Source organism: Homo sapiens, chromosome 2 (genome assembly GCF_000001405.40).
Source record: "Homo sapiens chromosome 2, GRCh38.p14 Primary Assembly".
In the NCBI taxonomy this organism is placed as follows: Eukaryota; Metazoa; Chordata; class Mammalia; order Primates; family Hominidae; genus Homo; species Homo sapiens.
Window position 1 is genome coordinate 169088863 of NC_000002.12, and position 26036 is coordinate 169114898.

Genomic DNA, 26036 nt, shown 5'->3' on the forward strand with positions numbered 1-26036 from the left:
GACACAACAGTACCACCCTATTTAAACCTTCAGTAGAAAACCATTAGTTCTTAAATAGCTTCTCCAAGCATGCTGTCCAAGCTTTATAGCTTCATTCCGTGGGAGAGACTGGGGGAAGTGTGCTTAATCCATCTTACCTGGAACCAGAACTTATCACCATCAGTTCAAATCCCCTAAAGTACAAGTGGTTCTTTCAGTCAAGATTCTGGCAGGAAATGGTGGCACATTAAAACTGGGTAAAAGGCAGAGAGTATGCTTAAAGGACTTATAAACATGTGTGAGGTATCTACTGAAATCTCAAAGGATACAATCTAGGGGCTAATGACAGTAGGTGTATTTCTCTTCAGAGGACTGAAGGGACAAGGAGACAGGGCAGTTTCCAGAACCTGGAGACGCAGAGGCTGTTGTTTTCAGTTAAGGGATAAAAATAACCAGTGTTGACACCACAGGAGGATAACTACTCTGACCCCCTCACCTCTTTCCTGATCCCCCACTGGCACTTTCAATAGACTGAACTCAACAGAAGCCAGAGTATACTTAGTGCAGGTAAGATTCCCAGGATATGATGCAGACAGAGGGTGGAGGAAAGGACTAGAGAAGCAAGCGGAAGATATTCAGCTGAGTGGTGCCACAATAGGCAAGTGAGAAGACAAAGTTAGTTATAGTTTTTCCTTTGATTCATCCATTTATTTATTTGACTATTATTTGTTGAAGGCATATGTTAGAGTTTATGATTTATACCATGGACCTAGGTTTAGTTTACTAATAAAAGGTTAAAATTACTCCACTGAAATTAATAAAGATAGAGCAACTTCATTTTGCCATTTGATCAGGTTGCCAAGTTTGATTCTCCTAGGAAATAAGCACAAAAATATTGGAACAATTCTTCCAAAAAACTAATGTGCATTTGAATCACCTGGGGATCTTTTCAAAATGCAGATTTTGATTAAGTGGATCTGGAGAGGAGCCTGAGACCCTGCATTTCTAACAAGCTCCAGGTGCTGCCCATGGTTCAGGGATCACACTTTGAGTAGCAAGGTCATAAAAAAACCTCCATTGGTCTCTTTGGTTGACCTTTGTTTCCACTCTACAACCAGCAGTATCATAATAAAATTGTAGTATATGTAATTAGAGATTTACTCACTTTTAAAAAAGATTTCAACTGAAGGGTTTGTGAGCTTTGCCATGCAGGTATGCCATGCCTAATAGTAATCAATAAAGAGTATTTTTCTTAAATGAATCATGGAACTAGTATTTTAAATGGTGTTATGTAGGTGCGCCACAATCCAGTGTCAGCGTCACAATTTCTATATATAGGAGGGTTTAGGGGCAGCAGTCCATTTGAGAGAGGGTTGGGGCTCCTTAAAACTGTATTTTCCCAGCATGCATACTGATTTAATATGGTTTTTACTTACCTGGTAAGCTTAGTTGGAGGGCGTAAGGCCACTTGTCCCTAGTACGTTATTTTTATGAGTGGGTGGGGAGAAAAGTCTTCCTAAATAGCCTCTTGGCACTGCTACTTCCACAATCTAGAGGAAATTGGGCAACAGGTGAATAAAACAAAAGTAAGTTGGGAAATAATCTTTTTTAATTTTAGTACAAGTCATATACCTTACAGAATATTTCAAGGTCAAGCTAACTTGCATTTTTAGTAAAATATATTTCAAACTTTACAATAATAACGTTGCTAGAAAGCAGAACCTAAGAAAAAATAAATTACATTTTAAGTCCACTAATAGAGCTTTTAAAAATCTTATGGTGAAGAGTTTTATAAAATGAATAAATACTTCCTTATATTATATATTCCTGGTAGGAAAATAAATCAAATTTAGGAAACGACTATTCATATACTGGTTTGCTGTACAGGTGGTCCCTGACTTGCAATGTTAAACATGACTTTTCAACTTTACAATGGTGTGAAAGTGAGATGCATGCATTACAAACTTTTCTTAGAATTTGGAATTTTGATCTTTTACCAGCAGCAATATGTACAATACTCTCTCGCGATGCTGTGCAGTGGCAGTAAACCCCAGCTCCCCGTCAGCCGTTGCAATCACAGGGCAAAGAACTGCTATGCTGCAGGGCACTGTGTGGCCAGATGATTTTGCCCCATTGTGGGCCAATGTAAGTGTCCTGAGGACGTTTAATGTAGGCTAGGCTAAGCCATGATGTTTGACAGGTTAGGTATATTAGATGCATTTTTTGACATAGGATATTTTCAACTTACAATGAGTTTATCAGGATGTGACCCCACAGGAACATCTGTATATTGGTTTGCTTTAAAGAAAGGGGCACCATGATTCCTGTAAAACCTTGATGCCTAGGGAATGAGTAGGCTTTTAGTTTTCTGCTGCAGCATGATATAAAATAAAATAAAATAAAATAAAATAAAATAAAATAAAATAAAATAAAATAAAATAAAATAAAATAAAATAAAACTTGCTCAACAGCATAGGGAGCAGGTTAGTCACATCAGGGATTATCGTATTGTGTCCTTCAGCACATCCTCATTTGTGCTGCAATCTCCTTATGTTGCTAGAATGGAGGTGAACTTGTCCATCCAGGCTATCATTAGTTCATTTCACCATAAGGTGGTTTAAGTACTGATAAGAAACCTGTTCATAACCTGAATGTCCACTTAGTCAATGATGAGAGCGTGGAGAACACTCTAGGAAGAACAACAGTGGACTGGGGGTGGTGTCCACCCAGATCCCTTTCCTGTCCTGCCGTTAACTAGTCCTCACTTCACCACTCTGAACCTCAGTTTCCTCACTTGCAAAATGAAAGGGAGAGAGAATAAGATATTTCTTTCAAATGCACCCAAATCTGTGATTCCATGAAAAGATTCGTGAGAAAATAGTCACTCAAATAGCAAATATTTTCTAAACAAACCCGGATTAAACATCTTCAATGGGTTCTTTTCACAGACGGGACATGAAAGCTTTTGGTGTGCACGTCTCATGCATTGAACCAGGATTGTTCAAAACAAACTTGGCAGATCCAGTAAAGGTAATTGAAAAAAAACTCGCCATTTGGGAGCAGCTGTCTCCAGACATCAAACAACAATATGGAGAAGGTTACATTGAAAAAAGTGAGTTTCCGGGCGGTGCCAATGTCCTCTAGAATTCTTTGTCCTGAACAGCATGAAGGAGATTCAAATACAGATGAAATAACAAGGTTCTGAGTAATACCCCAATAAGGATCTTAACCATGGATCAGGGATCTCCTATTAATTTCAGTGTCATCTCTTGCTTCTGTTTATAAACATTTACTGAGCAATTACAAACTGCCAAGTTATCTGCTAAGTGTCTTATGAATTATATTATTTACTCCTCAAAAACTATTAGAGTAATGAGCAGAGGCTTGAGAAAGTGAAATGTCCTGCTCAAGATTACACAACACCTCCTAGTCATGCCTGGACCTGAGCCCAGGAAGGCAAGTCGAGCCACGGTCTTCACCTTTGCCATACCTCCTCTTTTCCTCAAGCACCAGCTGTACACTTGGCATTAAGGATTTATGGTGGTTACAAAAGATGGAAAAGGTTCAGCCTCTGACCTTTAGTTTACAACCTAGTTGACAACAAGAAGTAACCAAGCGAGAATGTAAAACAATGAAATAATGTAGCACACAATAAAATTAATCCTTTACTTCTTAGGTGTAATCTAACAGCCCAGAAATGGTGCTAGATGGTGTGGTTTCTAATTCCCCAGGGAATTTAGACCAGGAAAAGAGCATGGCTGGTTAAGCCCTAATGGGGCAGGTCAGGTTTGAATAAGAGGAAAGGACAGGAAATAATTACTTGGGTGGAAACTTTCTGGAGCAGGAACACATGGAGGAGAAGATGGAAGACACCAGGAGCCTTCCTGGTCAAGAGATTGAGTCAGAGATGGGAGAATAATAATAAAGATGACATAATGACAACTAACAAATAGTAAATATTTACTATGTACTTGTCACCATTCTAAGTGCTTTACAGGGACACTCATTTAAAATCCCCCAAAAAACTCTTATTATCGTCTTCATTTTATAGAAATAGAGGCATAGAGAATAACTTACCAAAATTGTACCACCAGTAAGTGGAAGAGCTAGATTTGGACCCAGGCAGCCTGACCGTGCCATTTATGCTTGGCCATGGCACTATAATGTGAACAAGGCATTAAGGACTTTGGTTACACTCCTGTTATCAGGCTTTCCCCTCCGCCACAAACTTCTTGGGTCGGTTAAAGTTTACTTGATATTCCTCAAGTACTCACTGACCTCCTGCTTTGAGTTGAGCAGGGTTCCACCTAACTATGGGTAGTTCTTTCCCTCCAAACTGTGCTCAGGCCTCTTAATCAGTGGACTTGGTAAGACTGTCAACTGTGGCAAGGTTCATGGTCAGGAGTTTTCAAGGCAGAGCTGAAAGCCAAGTCAGACCCACCTGGAGAGGTTTTTAAAATGACTGACTCCTCCAACCACCATTACCCTAAACACACACACACGCACACACACACACATGCACACACACAGAGGTACACACATTATCTATATATCAACTGAAATGTCTGGTCTTACAAACATCTTAGTGCTGACATGCCACTATAGGTTTAGAGCCACTGCCATCAAATACTCTACTTTTCAGTTCCTGACTCTGAAGGTTCTATGTAGGTTCCATCTAAGATGGAACTTAATACTTCAGAAACAAAACCCCTCATTTAAAAGAGCTTTCTCTGTTTGATATTGATACCGATACTTTTTAAATGCCTTTGAATATATCACTGACTTCCATCTCCAATTATTTTTGGCTTGGTTCCTGGTTCATGTGTTCTGTCTCAGAAATACCAAAAGGCATTGAGCTCAGTTTTACACTGGTTGTTCTCACTAGAGTTTTCAAGTCAGGACTTGGAGATCAGCCAAAGTCACGGTCCCAAAGTAGACCACAAATTGAAGGTCATCTTTTCTTAATTTCCCAAGCTGGGATAGTAGGAGTTTAAAATAGCCACTAAGACTTATTAGGTTCTTTGAACAACTTGTGGCCAGTGGGACTTGAAGTTGAAAGAAAGATCTAACATCATAGACTTTCCCTTGAGAAGACACAGCTCAGGTATGGTTTAAAAGTATGTGAGAATCATATGATAGCTCTACTTTGAATTTGGGGGGGAAATCTCTATGCCATTTTCCATAATGACTGTACTAATTTACATTCTCACAAACAGTATACAAGAGGTTTTCTCCATGCCCTTGTCAATACTTGTTATCTTTTGTCTTTTGATAGTAGCCATTCTAACAAATGTGAGGTGATATCTCATTTTGGTTTTAATTTGCATTTCCCTGATGATTAGTGGTGACAAACATTTTTTTCATATACCTGTTGGCCATTTGTATCTTCTTTTGAGAAAAGTCTGTTCAGATTCTCTTCCCATTTTTAATCAGGTTATTTCTTTTCTTGCTGTTGAGTTTCTTATACATTTTGGATATTAACTGTGCCTAAGATATAAAGTTTGCAAATATTTTTTCCCATTCTGTATGTTTTCTCTTCACTCTTTCAACTGTTTCCTTTGCTGTGCAGAAGCTTTTTAGTTGGATACAGTCCCACTTATCTAGTTTTGCTGTTGTTTAGCTTTGTGTTTTTGGGGTCATATCCAAAGAAATCATTGCCCAGACCAATGTCAAGAAGTATTTCCTTTATGTTTTCTTCTAGTAGTTTTTTTTTTTTTTTAATAGAGATGAGGTCACACTATGGTGCCCAGGATGGTCTTGAACTCCCTGGGATCAAGTGATCTTCCCACCTCAGCCTCCCAAAGTGCTGTAATTACAGGTGTGAGCCACCATGCCAGGCCTCTTTTGGCAGTTTTATAATTTCAGGTCTATGTTTAAGTCTTCAATCCATTTTAAGTTGATTTTTTTATATGGTGTAAGATTCAGTTTCATTCTTCTTCATGTGGATATACTGTTTTCCCAATACCATGTATTGAAAAGACTGGGGTTGTAATCCACCACTAATCCCTTGTAAAATCCCTGCCTCTCTAAAGGTATCTTCGCTCATTATTCAAACATCTCATTTGCATGAGAACTGGGATCCTTTTAGCTTCCTGAGTCAGTACATTTGGGGATGATTCTCTCTTTATTTACAGATTATAGAAGCCTATACAAGTATACAAGTGCACAATTACATCCACACATGCATGCACATACATGCACAAGCACATGTGCAACCCACATTTTCTCTAGACACATAATCCCCTAAAACAAATTAGAAATCAAACATACAACTTTCTAGGCTTAGGGGCCTCATGGGCTTTATGAAGTATCGTTTCCTCATTGCTCTAAAGCACTGAGGGATCAAAGTTTGATCCCTGGACCAGCAGCATCAGCATCATCTGGAAATTTGTTAGAAATGCTCATTCTTGGGCCCCACCTCATACCTCAGTCAGAAACTCTGGAGGTGGAACCGAGAAACCTGGGTTTTAATGAGCTCTCTAGAAGAATCTGCTGCCAACCCAATCTTGAGAGCTGCTGGTCTAAAGAAAGCATTGCAATATCATTTTCTGAGGAATAGATAGTAAATCCTCAAAATGAGCCTCAATTATAATGGACAATTCAGAATAAATCCCCTTGTATCCATCCTCCCCTTTGCACCCTAGACTTCCACTCTGCTTTCCCCTTCTACCAAAGAGTAAATGTACTTTTGTCTCTTTTTAGGTCTAGACAAACTGAAAGGCAATAAATCCTATGTGAACATGGACCTCTCTCCGGTGGTAGAGTGCATGGACCACGCTCTAACAAGTCTCTTCCCTAAGACTCATTATGCCGCTGGAAAAGATGCCAAAATTTTCTGGATACCTCTGTCTCACATGCCAGCAGCTTTGCAAGACTTTTTATTGTTGAAACAGAAAGCAGAGCTGGCTAATCCCAAGGCAGTGTGACTCAGCTAACCACAAATGTCTCCTCCAGGCTATGAAATTGGCCGATTTCAAGAACACATCTCCTTTTCAACCCCATTCCTTATCTGCTCCAACCTGGACTCATTTAGATCGTGCTTATTTGGATTGCAAAAGGGAGTCCCACCATCGCTGGTGGTATCCCAGGGTCCCTGCTCAAGTTTTCTTTGAAAAGGAGGGCTGGAATGGTACATCACATAGGCAAGTCCTGCCCTGTATTTAGGCTTTGCCTGCTTGGTGTGATGTAAGGGAAATTGAAAGACTTGCCCATTCAAAATGATCTTTACCGTGGCCTGCCCCATGCTTATGGTCCCCAGCATTTACAGTAACTTGTGAATGTTAAGTATCATCTCTTATCTAAATATTAAAAGATAAGTCAAACATTTTCATGAGTGGATAGACATGTTCTGTTACCTTGCTGAGGATGACTCTGAAGGACCAAAGCTCAGTTCTGATAAGCTTTGAAAAGGACAGGAAAAGGGAGGGTGATCAAGCATTGTGTGACACGGGTATAAGCTAAAGGCAGCAGTAAAACACTAGATAGAACTGCAAACAGAAGGAAAGAAAAAGATAGGAAAAGGAATAAGAGGACTGCAACAAAAGAATATATACCTAAATATATATATATGAAGAGAGACTCCCCAACACTCAGACAAGCCTTCCTAGAGGGAGCTATGGAGGTGAACATCCTATTCAAGCCCCTAAGAACATTGATGCACACAGTTTTCTGGTGGAAAGATGTAATGACATAGTAACTAATCATTCCAAAAGAAGAATAATGTTACATTTGGTTGGTTTATTCTGATGATTGTAAAAGTAACAAGACCCAGACCATGTGGCACAACTTACACCTGAGATGGCTGGAAATCTTGCATTTGAAGGGTCTTTGAAGCCCCATGAAGATATAGAGCTAAATAAAAAGGCTCTCTTTAGTCTACAGTTACAGTGGGATTAGATCTGCATCTTGCTTATATTCATGTTTCTAAATTGAATAGACCCTGGGCCCACACCCCATCCAAAAGAAAGAGTTCCCTAAACAGACGTTTCCCGATTCCAATAGCCAATACTGCTCGCAAAGGTTTGTAGACTATTTACAAGAAGAAGCCTGCAGTGGCAGAATGCAACATGTTTTGCTTAATAATATGGTGTAAACAGCCAGAGAGATTAGCTAATGCACATGTGCAAGTGTGCACGTGCACACACACACAGAGGCATATACACACATGCTTAACATATTGCAAAGAAAGTCTGCCTGTAATCCCAGCAGGTCAAGGCAGAAGGATCGCTTGAGCCCAGGAGTTCAAAACCAGCTTGGGCAATATAGTGAAATCTTGTCTCTACAAAAACTAAAGAGTTAGCTTGGCATGGTAGTGTACATCTGTAGTCCCAGCTACTTGGGAGACTGAGGCAGAGGATCACTTGAGCCAGGAGGTTGAGGCTGCATTGAGCTGTGATCATGCCACTGCACTCCAGCCTGGAAGACGGAGCAAGACCTTGTCTCAAAAAAAGAAAAGAAAAGAAAAGAAAAAATATTTAATATCTGCTGCTTGAAACCATGTCCGTTTGAAGGTATTAGTAATTCTATTCATTTTTAATCACCTTTCCAGAAATATCTGCTTATGAGGTAATTTTCTCCTTTCAAGTTTACAACATATTGGTGAGTGAAAAATCAAATTACAAATGGTGTCAATCCACTTAGATATACATTTCATAATTTTGAAGAAGGATATACTCATCATTTTTGCATCAAAATGAAAAAAAAATCACAGCAAGAATGAGATGGAAGAATTCTCGGGCAAAGTTAACTAACCTGCCTGCCTGTGAGGTCATCCCCATCTTGGACCTAGCCCCAGAGACAGCTCACTTGTAGATCTCTGGTTTCTTCTTGTTGCAGTTAACCACCCCATAGTCTGTTCTTGGAGGTAAAGTTCACCAATGTTGTCTGCTGGGGCCCCTCCTCACCTTGAATTCACATCTTGGCTTCATTTCACTGCTTTAGAATTCTTGACAAGCTGCTCCCTGACTTTCCAGACCTCCCAGGGCTACCAAGATGTTTAGACTCTGAAGGAACTTTCTTTGCCAAGCTTCTAACCATTTCAGTCATATTCTTGGGCCTACCTGATTGTGTTCTTTCTTTTGTTTTGCCTAGACCTGAGTTCTTTGTTCTTTCCTTCCAGTAGCTACAATTTGGTAACTCCCTGTTTCATCCAACTAAAAAATTCTCTCCTTAAAACAAATGTCACCAGGTGTGATATTACTCCAAAATAATACCAAATATATTCACCTAAGCAATTTTTAAAGGTTTTTAAAATACATGAGAAGGTGGGGTGTTGGGGGCATAGAGGCATAAGTCTCTACAGAGGCACAAGATGTGTGGTAGGGAGAAAGGGGGGACGAGGATATCAGACAGTCACTATATCAGGCATCTTGGGCATGGGTTCCTAGACTTCTCTCTGTCTTACCATAATCACTTCTAATTCTCTGTTCTTTTGGGGAAAATACCTATCAAATTTTTATCTGTAAATATTTGAAGAGACATATTTTGACTACGATGGACATTCTTCTAAGTATTGGCCTATAATAAGGAACATGATGGATGTGAGGCCTTCCTTCCTAGAGCCTTTTGGAAATAATCCAAATCTAAGGCCAATACTCAGGAAGCCTTAGAGGACCTTCTCCAGGAATGCACGGCCAAGATGAACGGAGATGTTGTCCTCCACCACATCTAGCTTGAAGGATTCTTCCTCACTTAGTTTAGAGAGACCAAGAGAACCTCCCAAACCCTCCCTCTGACCTGATCCAAAAATCCAAGTGTGTCCTTCATCTGGGCATCCACAATATATTCAAATCTGGAGTTTTTATCTTCCCTGCCCCACAGATGTTTTCCCAGTCCAGCACCAACTACTGTCAATTTAATCTCCATAGGGATCTGGAGTCTGTCTACCTTTCTTCATCTCCAGTGCAATCACCTGTTCAAGCTACCCTCATCTCTTGTTTCTACCACAGCATATCCACCTTGTGCACCATCATTGATTTCTCTTCATTGTAGTCAGAATTGTTCATAATTAACATCTAATCATTCTACTCCTTCTGTCGTTGCTTTCTTAAAATCTTTTCAAAGTGTTCCTGTTGCACTTTGGCTGAAGACTAAAATGATTATGTGAACCCTGCTGCCACCATACTCCTCATTAGCCTCATTTTATAGCACTGTTCTCTTCACTTGGCCACCTCTGCAGCTTTCCCATGCCTCTCTCTGGAAAGTTCCATCTTACCTGGTTTTCTAGTTTCTTTGTCCTACAGATCTCAACCACGTTCTCAGGGAAGCCTGCACAATTTCAAATTCTGACCACCACCTCTTTATCCAGTTAGGTTCCCATCTTGTACACTCTCACTGTGCCCTGTAATTTTCTTCAGGAATCTCATCACAGTCTGTAATTGTATATGCATATGGTTAGTTAATATAGGTCTCCTGTATCATATCATAAGCTCCATAAAATCATGAATAATGATGCTTTGCTTATCTTTGTATCTCCTTACCTAGGACATCGCTGGCACACAGATCAATGTTCAATACATGTTTGTTGAATGAACACAAAAATTAGTCTATATTAGCCTTTCTAACTAAGGGTCAATTTATTACTCAAGATCAAGCTGGTCGGGTGCAGTGGCTCAGGCCTGTAATCCCAATATTTTGGGGGGGCCAACGCGGGAGAATCAGTTCCAGAGCAGCCTGGACAACACAGGGAGGCCCCATCTCTACAAAAACAAATTAAAAATATAAAAATTAGCTGAGCATGCTGGCATGTGCCTGTAGTCCTAGCTACAGTCTGAGGCAAGAGGGTATCTTGAGCCCAGGAGACTGAGGCTGCAGTGAGCTATGATTGCACCACTATAGTCCAGCCTGGGCAACAGAGCAAAACTCTGTCCCTAAAACATGAAAAATAATACGTTTTTTCAAAAAGATCAAGCTTGCTGATCCCAATAGTTGTGCTGTCAGTGTGCCAGTTCAGTCAAAGTCTTATAACTTCCTTGAGCATTTCAGGTCTTCCTGAAGGCTCCCCAGCTCTGGCTCTGCTCTCAGCCAGATACTGAGCAGTGTTACTGTAGTGATTTCCCACCACCTATTGCAAAGGAGGCTGCCTCCATGCCAAGCCATCCTGGGCCCAGTAGGCACAGAACTAAAAGAGCACCAGGGATCATTGAGTCTATTTCTCTGCTTACAGGCAGGACATGTCTAAGCCATCCAGCCTGAAGAGAATCTCTTCTAGTTAGAATCTCTCCAGAAACTCTATAACTTCTGTTATCTTAGGGTAGACCAATACTTAATGACCAATATTTCACCCTGACCAATAGTTAATGAGAAAAATTTCCAGGAAACTTCTTTAAAAAATGATCAATTTTGGCTCTTCTGCACACTATTAATCCCAGTAGTTTTCAAGAACACAAGACATCACAGTCCCATCAATGTGGAGGAAAAGCTAAACATTCTCAAAATGAAAAACATTTTTTATATTTATGACAACTCAATCTAAGCCATAGTTTATAAGGACAAAGCTGACCAAGAGTTTTGTGAGTCTTTGCAAGGTGAAAAATAAGATAATTTGATATTCCTAATGCTAACATTCTTCCTCAACTCTGCAATTCATTTTTCAAAAAGAAAATATAATTTCCATCCTAGTAGATGAGGTACTAATACAGCCAGAGCTTTAGTACAGATTCTGGTTTAGTAGTATTTCCAAGCATCTTTCTTTTTTTTTCTTCTATTTTCTTTTTTGCATATAACACCTGCTCAAGCAGGAACCAGATCACAGTTCTTGCCTGATTAGTCCCTAGAAATAGCAATCCAGCCTAAAATAGTTCAGGCGAGAGCAACAGAGCATTCTCTCATTCTACAACTAGCAACTCTCCTGAACTGCTCCATTTTACTTCCTTTTGAGAAACTGGAAACAGAAAGTATTCTGCTATGAATACATAGTTTAAGTTCTGGGCAAAAACCATCTATCCCCGTATGTAGATAAAATATTTACTTACTGTGTTCTGGGTCTGTTTTCTCCTAGGTATGGCAACCGTAACTTGAGTATAATGCCACCCAATTAATGTTGATGCCTGAATTATGAACCAGGTAATCCAAACAACCTGACTTGCCATGGGCATAATAGGAGAAATAGTCATAATGATTGCTTAATACTTAAGTATAGGTCAGATTTTAAATACACTTTACTGTCTATTACATGAATGATTTCACGTAACCCTAATCATATCTCACTTACGTGTGTTTTTTAGAGATGGAGAAGTGAAATCACAGAGAGACAAGCAACTTCCTAAGGTTACACTGCTAGTGAGTGTGGGCCAGGGTTCAAGCCCAGGCAGCTTGATGTTGGAGCCGATGCTCAGAACCACCATGCTGTATTATTAAAAAGGATTTGAGGCCAGGCGCGGTGGCTCATGCCTGTAATCCCAGCACTTTGGGAAGCCAAGGTGGGTGGATCACCTGAGGTCAGGAGTTTGAGACCAGCCTGGCCAACATGGCAAAACTCTGTCTTTATTAAAAGTACAAAAATTAGCCAGGCGTGGTGACGGGTGCCTAAAAAAAGAATTTGAGTCTTAGACAGTATTTCCCTAAACTTTGATTCTGGTTCAACAAAAAACAAGACTGTTATTAAATTAATCTAGCATTAGTCTTACCTGGCCAATAACCAATTATGCATAAGAGTGATGCATAATTTTGAGCAATATACAAAGATATACCCCTTTTAGTTTTCCTGTATTCTATTTTCAAAATTTTCTCACTCATGATGACATAATAAAGGCACTTAAACATCATTCCCTAGATCCTTAAAGTTTTCTAACTAGATTTCTGGATTTTCTTTCTTTTTTTCTCTTTTTCAATCTTCTTTCTTCTTTTGTTGTTATGGATTTTGTCCATTTGTTGTTGTTAGTTGTTTCAGGAATTTATTTGCAATCACTTTTTGCTAATTTCAATAAAGGCCTTAGATCAACTGTTCTGACCCAAGATCAACACTACACATCTTCCAGCTTTTAAGATGAGACAAAAGAAAAAGAACAGAAGTCTGGGGTCCCACACATACTATGTTTCCAGATGACTGTATTTTTTTCAACAAATAGTGGGACAAACTATGCTGGTCCTTGTGGCTAGGGCCAGTCCTGGGAACACTAATGAGAGAAATGAGGGGACCTTAGCTGGAATGAGGTCAGGGCCTCCTGGCACTACCACACTGCAATCTCAAAAAAAAAAAAAAAAAAAAACAGTAAGTGGCTGGACTTTCTCATTTGGCTGGAAGAGGTCATATAGCTCATAATCTGTCTCACAGAGACACTTCCACTAAGAACATTCCCAAGATGACAAGTTTCTGCTCCAATACCACTAAAGAATGGACGGTCACCATCTTCCAATTTACCCTGTTGATTAGCTTTAGTTACTAGAACATTCTTTATAATTTTTCACCCAAAATTTCTCAGTGTGGATGAGGGGAGAAATGGCTATTGTTTCTGCTGCCATCATGATGATAATGGTTCACATTCACTGAGCCTTTAAAATGAGCCAGAATCTACCCAGAACACTATCTATGCACTTTCTCATGAAGTCTTTACAACTTTTGCACAACAGGTGCATTTATTGTCCCATTTTACAAATGAGGATTCTAAAATTCAAGATTCTTTCATCTCTAGTAATCTAAGATTCCTAAATGCCCACTTGATAAAATGCTCATTCCCAAAAATAAATATACAAGAAAAGCATAATTAGACAATGGATTTTAAAAGCCAAAATTCTTCATTAAAGTTCTTTCTGAACTCTGGAGCCACTGTAAATGAGAAACTCTAAAGCTCTGGGTGCTGAAAGCAGAAGTCAAGCCTCCTGGCCAGTCATCCCCAAGCACTTTCCCCATGCCTTCAGACCTTGAGAGAAATGATGGACAGTGTGTGCAGGCTCTTTCCACGTTCCTTCCACTCGCTCCAACCCCTGCTGCAAACACCCTTTTAAGAAATTAGACTTTTTTTCGTGAACAGAAATACATGCAGTTACCTTCATGCTTTACAAATGTCAATGCTCATTCTGAATGAAATAAACAAAAGTGTTCTGGTCAGAAAACCCTCCAAGCGCCCAAATGTTCTTTGGACCCCCTCCCAATTGGCCATTCTTTCACCTCCAAGGTGGAATGGAATCTGATCTGAGTCCTGTCCCTGCAAGGAGCATTTTTATCACTGACTTAGATGAAAACAAAGGCAGGTTTTGTTAACTCACCAGGGAAATACATGAGAAGACAGAATCTGGGTCTAAAATGCTGCTATGAGTTCTAACCATGGACTAACAGGATGAAATGGTACAGGGAAAGGTGCAAGGCTCTGTTTTGCTTCCAAAAAAGCAAACATGGGATTCAAAGCCACACTGTGAAAATAATTGAGGTATTTTATGCAAAAATCAGTTCCAAATGAATCAATGATGTAATATGACAGTGTGACTTAACTACTCCCCGCTTACCTCCAAAAGGAAAAAAAGGAAATCATGCTCTGATCTCATCCTAAATTTTAAATTTACAACATATAGAGTAAGGTTGGTAATGGTTATGTCTCCTCCCAGCTGCTCAGGGCTCTGGTAAAACTTGCCTTCACTGTTGGGAACTCTACACTTATAGAGCAACAGACACTTTGGAGTGGGCGGCAGGAGAGCAGATTATCTGAAGTCCAGGTTAGCAGAAGGCGCTGGGCTTGTTTGCTTGGAAGAGACTGAGGGAAGACAGTACGGCCCACTTAAAGGGGCCTCCCTGAGAACAGGAATTAAACTCATATCAGAGGGCACAGAGTGGCAGAGCCAGAGTCATGGGTGGAAGTTACACAGAGTTCAAGTTCAGCACCATAGAGGGGATTTTTGTACCACTAGGAGTTGGATCAAAGGGCAGCTGCCATTGGCAGGCAAGCACAGGAAGGACCACCCTTGGAATGGGGATGCCGGAGAAGGGAGTCAAGCAATATGGGGTTGCATTTGCTGACTTGGATGACATTTGAGGATTCTATGGCTGGACAGGGTCTTTCTTCAAATATGGTACATACCAGCATAAAGAGACCTAACCTTTCTAATCACTAAAACCGTGGGATGTAACAAGCCAAATATCTCTTGCTTCAGTTTTCATGAGGCCTGGAATTTCATTTCTTCAAGACTTGAAAGAAGCGCCTTAGCTTCTGATGAGGAGAAAGGAGGCAGCTGCTGAAAGGAGAGGGAATACACATCAAGATCAACTAAAGCTAAATTTCAGATCTTGCCCAGAAGCAGCCCCGAGGATTAGCACAGCGAAAAGGAGGCTGGAAGGATTCTTGGGGCAACCTGCAACCTGGGCATCCATAGCTAGTTTAATTGTGTGGGGGTGCAGTTGTCAGAAACATGTGCTCACTTCTTAAAACAGGTGTTATTAATGGATCCAGTATAAATTGAACAACAAAACTAGGAAAGAATATACAGTGAAATCTTAGTCTTCCTCTTCCCAGGCCTCTGGTCCCTAGCTAGGACTTTCTCCTGTGTCATTGCTGAGATGCATATATATAGACAATGTATAGATAACCTTTTCACATACTTTTTACACAAACGGTAGCATAGCTAGACTCCACATTTTCTCTACCTTGCTCTAAAACGTTCAAATTTTAATGAACAAAAGACTAGGAATCCTAAAAATAATGTTCACAGTCATCATTTTCAAATCTGGCCCTCCTTAGGCAATAGATGGCTATGATTCCATCAGTTTTACTTCTTCAGTGCCTGACTTAACCAACATATTGTCAACGAAGTAACAAATACAGACAGGCTCTCTAAAAGAAAATGATGTTTATTTGGGAGTAGGGCATTGCAACGGGAATGCAGGTGCCATAGTAAACTATGTGTGCATTCAGGGAGGTAAAAAAAAAAAAAAAAAGACAAGGAGTTTTAAAGGAAAAAATGAGAAGGATACATAATTATTTTGAAATGATTACCTTTGGCTACAAAGATCAATAACAAGGGTGATCAATAACAAGGTCTGCCAGTCTGAGGTTGGGCAGACAGTTCCTGGGAAGATGTCTTTGCAGAAGTATTTTTTGTGTAAGGTTGTGATGGCCTTTGTGCAAGGTTGTGGTTGTTGCAGTCTTTTATGTTAGACTTTTTTAAAATCAGGCATGCAAACATGAGAACTCTCTCTTCACAGCCTTCATAGCTCTATTTGTGAGGGTTTTTTTTTTTTTTTAACACAAGTGACTCCATTTTGGTTGTGACAACTTCACAACATGAAGTCATTCAATATCGATGCTGTTATTCCTTCATTAAATACATCTTGAAGTTAATATTCCCTATGCTCTTGTTTCCTCTCTAATTTATTGCAGCAATTATATTTACCCTGGATAAAATAAGAAAAAAGATAATTGTATTGACTGTAAGCAATTCTTATGAGTGTAATGCCATTTATCAACAATAGCATTTATAAGTGGAATCACCAATCCATTAATAAATCATTCTGAAGGTAAGTTACTCCTCTAAGTAAAGTTAATTAATTATTTCAGGCAACTATTTAGAAAATATGACCTTCCCTTTGCTGATCTAATTCCTGAAGAGTGTTTGATTTACTAAGAGTCAGTTCCATGATACCAGCAGTCAAGGCTTCTAAAAGTAAGACATTGATTGAAACTTTCCCTTTATTTATTTCTTAAACCTGTTCTGTTTTTTAAATGAGTACCAGAGATCCACTTACTTGACTATTTGCAAAAAGTAGCAAATGAGGCATTAACAAAGTTGCCCTGTCTGATTCTAAAACCTAAACCTCTTTGACAGTTCGCTGTTAAGTAAACCACTTCCCTGCTGTGAGGAAATGGAGTCATCACACTCATTATTACCTTGAAATGACAGGGGAGCTGTTATGGGTTGAAATATATCACCCCAGCAAAAAATATATGTTGGAGTCCTAACCCCTACTACCTCAGAATGTGACCTTATTTGGAGACAGCCTCTTTACAGAGGTAATCAAGTTAAAATGAGGTCATTAGTGTGGACCCTAATCCAATATGACATATGCCCTTATAAAAAGGAAAATTTGGACACAGACACATAGGGGGAAGATAACATGAAGAGACGCATGAGAAGATAGCCATCTGCAAGCCAAGGACAGAGGCCTGGAACAGATCCTTCCCTCACAGCCCTCAAAGGAACCAACCTGCCAACACCTTGATTTCTGAATTTTAGCTTCCAGGAGTGTGAGACAACATTTTTCTGTTGTTTAAGCCCCACACTCTGTGATCCTTCATTATGGAGCCATGCGATGATGGGGCTATGGCATTGGCTTGGCAGCATGATGGAGTGAAACACTCCTCAGGAGTTCATCTAGCCCATCTTCTTGCCTCTGAGCATCTTTCCTGGATGAGTACTTTAAAAAAATGGTGAGAAATCTGTCTAGAAGTGCCTCATAGGTGGTCAAGAACAGAGACTCTTGGATCGAGCTCCTGGGGTCAAAACCCATCTTTGCCCTTAGCATTGGCTTGACCATTGGCATATTACTTAATTTCTCTTAGTTTTCTCATCTGTATAATGGGGGTGGGTGTACCTTGGACAGTTACAAGAATTAAACAAGTAAATGCATGTCAAATACAGCATAGTGCTTTTAATGTATTGTAGCTATGAGTATTATTCATTTTGTTGGCACTTTTTCAAATTAGCTTAGGTTCATGGCAGAACCTAGCTATAAGTTGGCCCGCACCTTGATCTGTTATTTGAATGGATTGGCCAAGGTCGAAGACAAGGACAAGAGCAACACTCTGACTTTTGTTCTTCCCTATTGTATAAGTTAGGTGTAACGAGAAGAGATCCTCAGCAGAACACTCAGAATGATGAGAGGAGATCTGAGACCTGTGGGGAAAACAACCACAACAAACATCCATTCATCACCATTTTCTCAGCACCATTGTGGGGAGTCCTACCCATGGCTACAGAGGAATGGCCCAAGATGGAAGCCTGGCCTGGCAATGCCTTCAGTTACCAGAAGGATGTTACTATACATAGTGGCAAAGTTGCAAGGCCCTTCAGGTCGCCAACACTCCTCCTAATTTCAAAGAAATTACCAGCAGGTAATTTCAAAGAAAAGGGAATAGAGGCCCTGAAAGGTGAGGAGACTTAAATAATACTATGTCAGATTCAGGACAGAGCAAGAGTTGGATACGAAGAAATGGGCTTCCTCTATTGCGGGAAAGATAAGAGAGTTCAGTTACACAGCAGGAAATCTGACCCCAGAGACTGACCAGAATAGAGAACTAAGGGCATGACACCCTCAGCCCTGTAAAGTTGTAGAAATAAGATGATAATGATGATGATAATGGTTATTACCAAATGTTGAGCAACTGTTCAATAACAGCACTAATTGTGTGTTCATTGGCTAATTGTTAATTAAACTGTGTTAACTGTTTTGCATGCGTGGTTACCTCATTTAATCTTTCTACAACAACCTTGCAAGACTATGAAGAGGAGCAGAGCTCAGATAGGGTATGAAACTTATCCAGAATCTCAGAGCTTAAGGGATAGCAGTTGGGACCACCAACCTCTACTTCAGACAGCCTCCTGCAGGCAGCAACCAGCAACAGATGCCGCTAAGGGCCCTTCTGGCTCTGTGGTTGTATGTTTTTAGAATATCTAAGTCACAGCCATGAGAAGTTTTATCTTTTATCAGTGAAGTCAATTCACTTGGTCATATAGAGTTTTGAACTATGAAAACTATTATTATAAAAAATAATTACCACAATCACTTTGGAGAAAGAACAAGTTCTCATACCAAATCTTTGATGAATTTGCGTCTGATGTTTTCTGTTTTTTTATTTTCTAGAGACAGGTTCTTGCTATGTTGCTTAGGCTGGTCTCTAACTCCTAGGCTCAAGTAATCCTGCCACCTCAGTTTGCAGGCAGCTGGGACTATAGGTATGCACCATCCCCGGCTTGCATCTGGCATTGATTGTTTCTGTGTTACCATAAACTTGCAGAAATACTTGCTTTTCCGCAAGGTAATGATAGCAGCACTTTCCCTTGCACTTTTCTAGCACAGTGTAATGAAATGCAATAGAAACCACAGGAAATACTGTGGTCAGGTTTTGAACCTGAGCTATCACCCTCAACCTGAACACTGTGACAAAGGTACTGTGAATTTTTTTTTAAAAGGGAGGTGACATAGTGAGGAGGTCCTGGTCCTTTTTTAGTGTCAAATCAGCCTGGGCATGATGAGAAACACCATTGGAGGAAGACTGAGGTACCTGACTCATGGCTGTTGGTTACCAATGCCTCCACTTAAACCCAAACTAAGAAAAAAACAGGGGGACCCCACCTAGGAGGCCCTCTCAGCTCCCAGAAGCAGTCTGATGGAGAAGGGATGTGATAGGAGGCCTGCCCTTGTGAGAACTGACATATTTCCTACACTTAGCATTTTATTTGGCTCCAAGTTAGGTGACAAGCAGATCCTAAGTGCCTTCTGTTTTCAAAGCCAAGTAGAGATTGCATAACATCTCTATATCTTATCCCTAGATGGTTAAAGTACCGATTGCTCTCTCATTTCAGCAGGAAGTGAAGTAAGACCACCTACATTTCTGTAAATTGCCAAGGAAGCTTGCAAAAGGTACAGTATGTACCCAAAATAAGTTCATACAGAAAGAAAGTGTGAATGAATAACAGCAGAAAGATATATCCTTTGTTGGATACATTTTATGTAGATATGTGCTATATGCATCATCTAATATAATCTTCTCAACGACCTTATGTGGTAAGTGCCACAATGATGCCTCATTTTACAGATGGAAAAAATAGAGATGTGAGAGAGGTAAGTGTTGTGCCCAAAGACACACAGATGCATATGTACACAGGGGACTAAACTGGGACTCAGCTGTCTGCCTTGTCAGACACTTGTGGGCCTCTCCATCAACCTGTCTCTTCCCACACACAAAGCGACTTTTCAAAATGACCTATTCACATGTTCTAATTCACTTCCCTTTCTTGTAAGCATTTAAGCCTGCAGCAAAAGCAGCTGTCTGTCAACTATTTTCTTTTTTTGGGTAAGCCCACATTTACCTGTGCTACCTATGTTACCAAGAATCCCTCTTTTCTCCTTCCATAGTAAAAATAGAAGACAGAAGAGTATTTTCTAATTAATCCCAACTCTTCTGCAATAGAAAAGTGGCCCCAAAGAAGTTGAAAGGAAAAGAAAATTGAAAGCTAAAAGGTTTTGAGATTTGTTAGGAAAACATTTTGACATTACACTGGAGTGGGTCACTGCGAAAACTGATCCACGACTTTTAGTGAAGCTAGAAGCAAGACATGGCTTGTCCTGGTCTGGAGGTTCTGTGCCAGCCATCCCAGGGAAGGTAGACCCCTATTAGTGAGTCACCTCACTCGGCCCGATTGGCAGCCCAGGCTCCAAGGCTACAGCCTAACAGTTTCTCGTAATTGTCAAAGAGCAAATGGCCACATCTAAGCTGGAAATGGTTGCATGAGCTATTTTAGGGTAAACCTTAAGATTTACTTTGAAAAATCCATTAAAACATCCAAAAACACACCAAAAAAAATCCTCTCTATATTTTTATAGACAGACATGGCATATTCATGAACACAGCCCATGGAAGCAGTTTCAGATTTCGGATGAGAGACAGCCAACAGGCAGAGGGGTCTAACGTTTGCTGAGAGTGGCAGGCACTTCACAGATGCTGTCTTTACTCTCACAGGATTCTCCTTATCACCCTGAAATAACACTTATTCCTGCCACCATTTTGAAATTATCGCCATCAATAAGGTTAAGTGCTTAGTGCAGGGTCACGCTACTGGTTAATGGCTAAGTTAGGAGTTGAACCCTAGTCTCTTTAACTCCCAAATCCAACCTCTTTCCACTGCGTGAACTTGGTCTCCTCTGAATATTCGGTGGGTAAAGAAGTCCTGGACACAGATCACTCTCCCTCCCAGTGGTTGTGGTCTGGATGCAGCTTCCAGGGGACTGGACAAGCTGCTTCCTGAGCGGGCTCCCCCTCCCCACTTCCATCCCTCCCCGCAACACCCTGGCCCAGGGAATGAGTGAAAATCAGTTGAGATTCCTCTCCTTATTCCCGCACCTGGGCTCAATTTTTTGCCAGGATTAGAGCACGCAAGCTCAGTGCTCTCAATTGGACACTAGGGGGCGCCCTATGCCCACAAAATACCTGGGATCCCAGTAAGCGTCCCGCAGCCCCTGTTTGGTCATATTGGAAAGGAACAAGTCCGTCCTCTAAGAAGTTTCACTTAAATGGACCAAAATCTACCATGGTTTGAAAGAAACCTGGTTAAATTACTGGGATTATCTAGTAGGCAAGCTGTTTTGGACAACCTAAAGCCAACATACTCCTAGTTCAGTAGTGCTATGACAATACTGAACATATAAAAGGACAGGTCCCCACTCCACTGTCTGATGGAAAACCGCCATCCTCGCAGCCCAGCCATTGCTAAGGTCTAGGATAACCCGGAGTAACCAGAACACAGTCGATCAATGATAAACGTAATAAAAAGCCAATTGATCAAAAATACTCCAAGGTATACAAGAAAAATAGCCCCCATATCCAAAGCGCTGCCCATCTCCCGCGCCTCAGTTCGCTGCATTTGTTCACCTTTGTGGAGAGGGAACAGGCATGGGTGAAGTTGGCCACTTGGAGAAGCTGTTGTTTGTTGCACCCAGGAAGCCCAGAGAGCAGCAGAAAGAAGGAGCCGTGTGCTGTCATTTGGTGAAGCCTAGGGCAGAGGCCCCAGGTGCCCGCCTCTGCGCTGAGGCCTTTCAAAGCTGTGCTCTTGGCAACAGCCTTTGAAATAACTGGGTGCTGGCAACACAGGCTTGGCATTAATATGCAAATAAGAATACTTCAGGCTCCCACTTCATGCTTTTGGATCGTTTTAAAAATCCAGCCACTTACCATGACTAACATAAAATAAAGGGGAAAAAAAAAGTGGTACGACCTTCGCTTGGTTTCTCCCACCGACCTCCTTGTGCTGGAGCCAAGCACTTTTCAAACCAGAGAGAGATAGGGCTGGGGTCTCAACTAGAAGCAGGGACCGCTTAGGGCTAAGGATATTTTCACCTCCCCTTTCTAACAAAAGCTTTGGGATGAATAATAGGCACCACTCAGCTCCATCAATCAACCTCAGTTGCTCTATTTTCATTGCTACCGAGATGTATAAAAAGCTAAAGTTTGCTACAAAGCCCCCATCGAGGCCTTCAGGAAATCCCGGGGAAGCTTACTGCGGGGATGGCTGTGAGCTTGCCAGGCGGCGATTGTGCACATCGTTTCCTTACAGCCTCCTTCCTGCCGCTCTGCCTTCCGTGCCTCTTCCTTTGTTTGGCTGCTCGCCTGAGATGGGCCTGCAAGGAGACGCCCCAGAGGCAAGCACGTCTCTATAATAAGATGTGACGCGAGTTTGGGGAATTTGCTGGCTATACATCATTATAAAAACGAATTCTACATCATTATCCGTTGCTTTTCTGAGACAGGAACGTGAGCGGTAAGGCTCTCCTGTCCCTAGCGCTCTGAGAACAAGGGCAAGCACAGAGCAGGTGTTGACTAGCCAACCTGCCAGTGGCACTAGCAAAGTGCCCTGCCAGTGGGAGAGGGACAATCTCAATACAACCTGAATCAGCTGTCAAACTAAGCCTACTACAAACAGCTGAATGGGGAAGAAACAAACAACACTTGTTGAAGTCCTTAGAAGATGAATTACATCTGTTTCAAAATTCCTGGCACCCTCTAAGAGGAATCAGAGTTCATGGGCATTTCTTTGCCTTGGTATCCTCAGAGAGCAGGGGACTTCGAGCTTTTGCTGTAGGGATAGTGCCATGAGATGAAGAGCTGGAAACAGGGGAGAGACTATGTTTTAACTGATAGCACGGAACCAGGAAGAGGTAGCCTTGCATCAAATGGAATGGGATGACAATACTAACATGGATAAAAAAGAAACCCTCCCAGGTTCCACCTCTGCATGCTGGTAAACAATGACCTCCATGTCCCCAATCCACACTCACTCACCTGCACTCTCCATCTCCCAGCCCTTTACTCTCCTGCTCTGACCTCTGGCCTTTCCCTTCATATAAGACACAAACATGCACCTGCTGCTTCTGTGGACACTACCCCTTGATGGGGTTCAGGACATGCTACATCATGTCCATATGGCATCTTATGAGCACAGGGGTTCACACCTATAATCCCAGCACTTTGGGAGGCCAAGGTGGGAGGATCACGTGAGCCCCAGAATTTGAGACTAGCCTCGGCAACACAGTGAGACCCAGTTTCTAGAAAAAAATTTAAAAATTGGCCAGGAATGAGGGCTTGCACCTATAGTCCCAGCTACTTGAGAGGCTGAGGCAAGAGGATCCCTTGAGCCCAGGACTATGAGGCTGCAGTGAGTTATGATCATACTACTGCACTCCAGCGTGGGTGGCAGAGTGAGATTCTGTCTCTAAAAATAAATAAATGGCATCTTAGCATTTGAAAAACAACAGAAGCAAGAAGGTCACTTTCACCTCCCTGCCCCCCAGTCTCTGGAAACCTGTTATAAAACCTAGGAAGGATTTCCTGATCTCCCTCTGAAGCAGGTCATAAGACCTTCATTTGAGAGTTACCTTCCCTACACTCAGAGAAGAGTTACCAAGGACCCAGAGATGCCAAGAAGAATCTGAACAAACAGGCCTTGCTAAGCTTCCCTGGTTTATTACCATTAGATCTTATCTATTTGTTCTCCAATTATCCTTCTCCTTGGATAATCCTTCTCCACTTTCCATCAAACCTAACCATAAAAATACATGTTTCCTTGTTTCTTTGGGCCTTCATTTCTGACAGCTCCCATGTCACATAACACTTGCATTAAATAAATGTACATGCCTTTCTCTCTTGTTAACCTGCCTTTGTTATAGGGCCCTCAGTCATGAGCCTAGAGATGGGTGAGAAAAACGTTTTTCCACCCCTGCGTTCTACACAGAAACCTTCTCCAAAGGGTCAACACCTTTTAACACTTTTTGGATTTTATCTTTCCTTATTGAGATGGGGACGGATAGTAGGAGTCACATTTTTTAGGAGGGAAAAGGGAGGCCCAGGGACCAAAGGTGACCTTCCCAGGAACAATACCAGAGCAACATTGGAGCAGCAAGGTCTTCAGCCCCACGGGCTGAGGCTGTTTCCTGATTGAGCAGATGCGCCTGTGGGTTAACTACCCTTGGCCTTTGTCCTTTCTCCCCGCTCTTGCAGATGAGCTGAGTCATCTCGGTGCCTCGGCTCCTTCACTGGACAGGTACTACAACCTCAGGGAAGTAGTGTTATCAGCATCCCATTTTATAGAGGAAGGAACTGATGCATAAAACAGCCTTCCCAAGATCACACTGTGAATAAGAGGCAGAGGATTGAATAAGGAGGCTTCAATGCAGAGTCACATCTCTGCAACATGCTCCACACGGTTTCTAGGCCATCTCTGCGATTCAAGGCATGATACAATGGGAAGAGCCCCATAGTAAGGCGTAGGGGACCTAAGTCTTATTCCCAGTTGGCCAAAGATCAGTGATGTGATCTCACCAAGTTGCCTGTTTTTCTATTTCTTAAATGAGAGATGGAATTAGATCAGTGGTTTTAACTGTTTCATATAAGAAGACCCATTTTTGTCAATTCTATAGGGTACCCACACGTTGAAAACTATCATCTGTCAAAATAATTGTATTTATTGAGTAACAATTACTTTGTTTTCCTTTTTTTCATGTAATTGTAAGTAGTTTATTTTGTCAGGAGCCAGACCTTATTTTCCCACAAGTTAACATAAGTTCATGAATTACATGCAACCAAAAGTCATTGCCATTAACCCATGCAGCTTTGTAATTGGCTTTTTTTTCTTTCATTTTAAGTTCAAGGGTACATGTGCAGGTTTTTTACATAGGTAAACCTGTGTCATGGGGGTCTGTTGTATGGATCATTTCATTTGTTTTCCATTTTTAACTAATTAAGACAAATGAAAGGTATCAGTTTCAGCAAGGTCCTTTCTAACTCCTTTTTCTAGATTCCACTGTCTGTTTTTCTGTGTCACATTATTGATTACTTTTCTTTCTTCATCCTAGCCATCATATCTTTTTAAATAAGTCTACCTGTTTACTTGGTTTTGTCTATCTGGACCTCTAGAAAGTCAACCTCTATATGGGCCAGGAATTCATCTGCCTATTCATCTCTGTATCTTCCAGGTCTAGCATCAAGTACGTGATTAATTAATTTGTTAATTTGTTGAACTAAAGATTAAACTGACTTACTGGTATTGATGAGCCTGTTAGCTCCTGCTATTAAATGGTAAACACATCATTTCAATTTGGCTTTTTAAAGTATTGAAAATAACTTGAAGAACTCCAATTCTGCTTTTTAAGTCTGGAGATTCCATGTTGGAAATGACGAGATGGAATGACCTCTAAGCTCTCATCTGTTTCTGAAATTTCACAATCCAGTGGTTTCTTTTGCAAAGCTGACTGGGGAGATTCTGTGAAGGCTGGGCACTAGACAGTGTTCTTCCCCGCAGAAGCAGTTCACAGGGAGTCGAGGATGCTCAGGTGCCATCTGACTCCAGACACGGTGATCCTCAAGGCCAGGTAGCTTAACTGCACTCATAATGCAGAGACTCCTAGGCAACAAAACTTTTTTCCCCTTGCTGGTGAAAAGTCAACTTCCTGTGCCATTGCTAACCTACACCCTTTCTACTCAGTTAGTGTACAGATTATAGAAGTGTGTGACTTTCTTTTCACCCTCTCATTCAGAGAAAGATGCTTGGATATGTCCCTTTATGAAGTTAAGCATTAGTTTTGTAAGACTTCGCAAATGTTCTGGAAAGCTATGCATGTAGCTGTAAAGATGGGAGGAAGGGAGGATAGGGCAAAAAGAAGGGCTGAATTGTGGTGCAATTGCCATGGAGGCCTCAATCAATCCCATAGGACACTCTGAAGCTGGGAATGATCCTTCCGAGTTGTCCCAAACTGACATGAAGATCAAGCCATTGGCTCACCACATCAGCCTGACCTTGGCCTTGATTGCCCTCGTAGCCTAGAGTGAGGCAGCATCCTGGCTGAGGGCAAGTCCATCGAG

At 41.2% G+C, this 26036-nt stretch overlaps 1 protein-coding gene across 7 annotated transcripts in view, besides 2 other annotated features; it reads left to right on the forward strand.

Annotated features, from left to right (window-relative positions):
- Positions 1–7305, forward strand: part of DHRS9 (dehydrogenase/reductase 9) — a 29091-nt gene extending 21786 nt beyond the window's left edge. For all 7 annotated transcript variants that reach the window (XM_047442839.1, XM_011510475.2, NM_199204.2 and 4 more), the window contains 2 exons: positions 2928–3091; positions 6682–7305. In XM_047442839.1, the coding sequence (XP_047298795.1) occupies positions 2928–3091; positions 6682–6905 (388 nt within the window). In that variant the 3' untranslated portion in view covers positions 6906–7305. The remainder of the gene's footprint in view (positions 1–2927; positions 3092–6681) is intronic.
- Positions 21162–21662: an enhancer, noted in NCBI's record as "H3K4me1 hESC enhancer chr2:169966534-169967034 (GRCh37/hg19 assembly coordinates)". NCBI's record gives its function as "activates a minimal SCP1, AML or CMV promoter by ChIP-STARR-seq in naive H9 embryonic stem cells {active_cell/tissue: H9 hESC(naive)}" and the evidence as "EXISTENCE:reporter gene assay evidence [ECO:0000049][PMID:30033119]".
- Positions 21663–22163: an enhancer, noted in NCBI's record as "H3K4me1 hESC enhancer chr2:169967035-169967535 (GRCh37/hg19 assembly coordinates)". NCBI's record gives its function as "activates a minimal SCP1, AML or CMV promoter by ChIP-STARR-seq in naive H9 embryonic stem cells {active_cell/tissue: H9 hESC(naive)}" and the evidence as "EXISTENCE:reporter gene assay evidence [ECO:0000049][PMID:30033119]".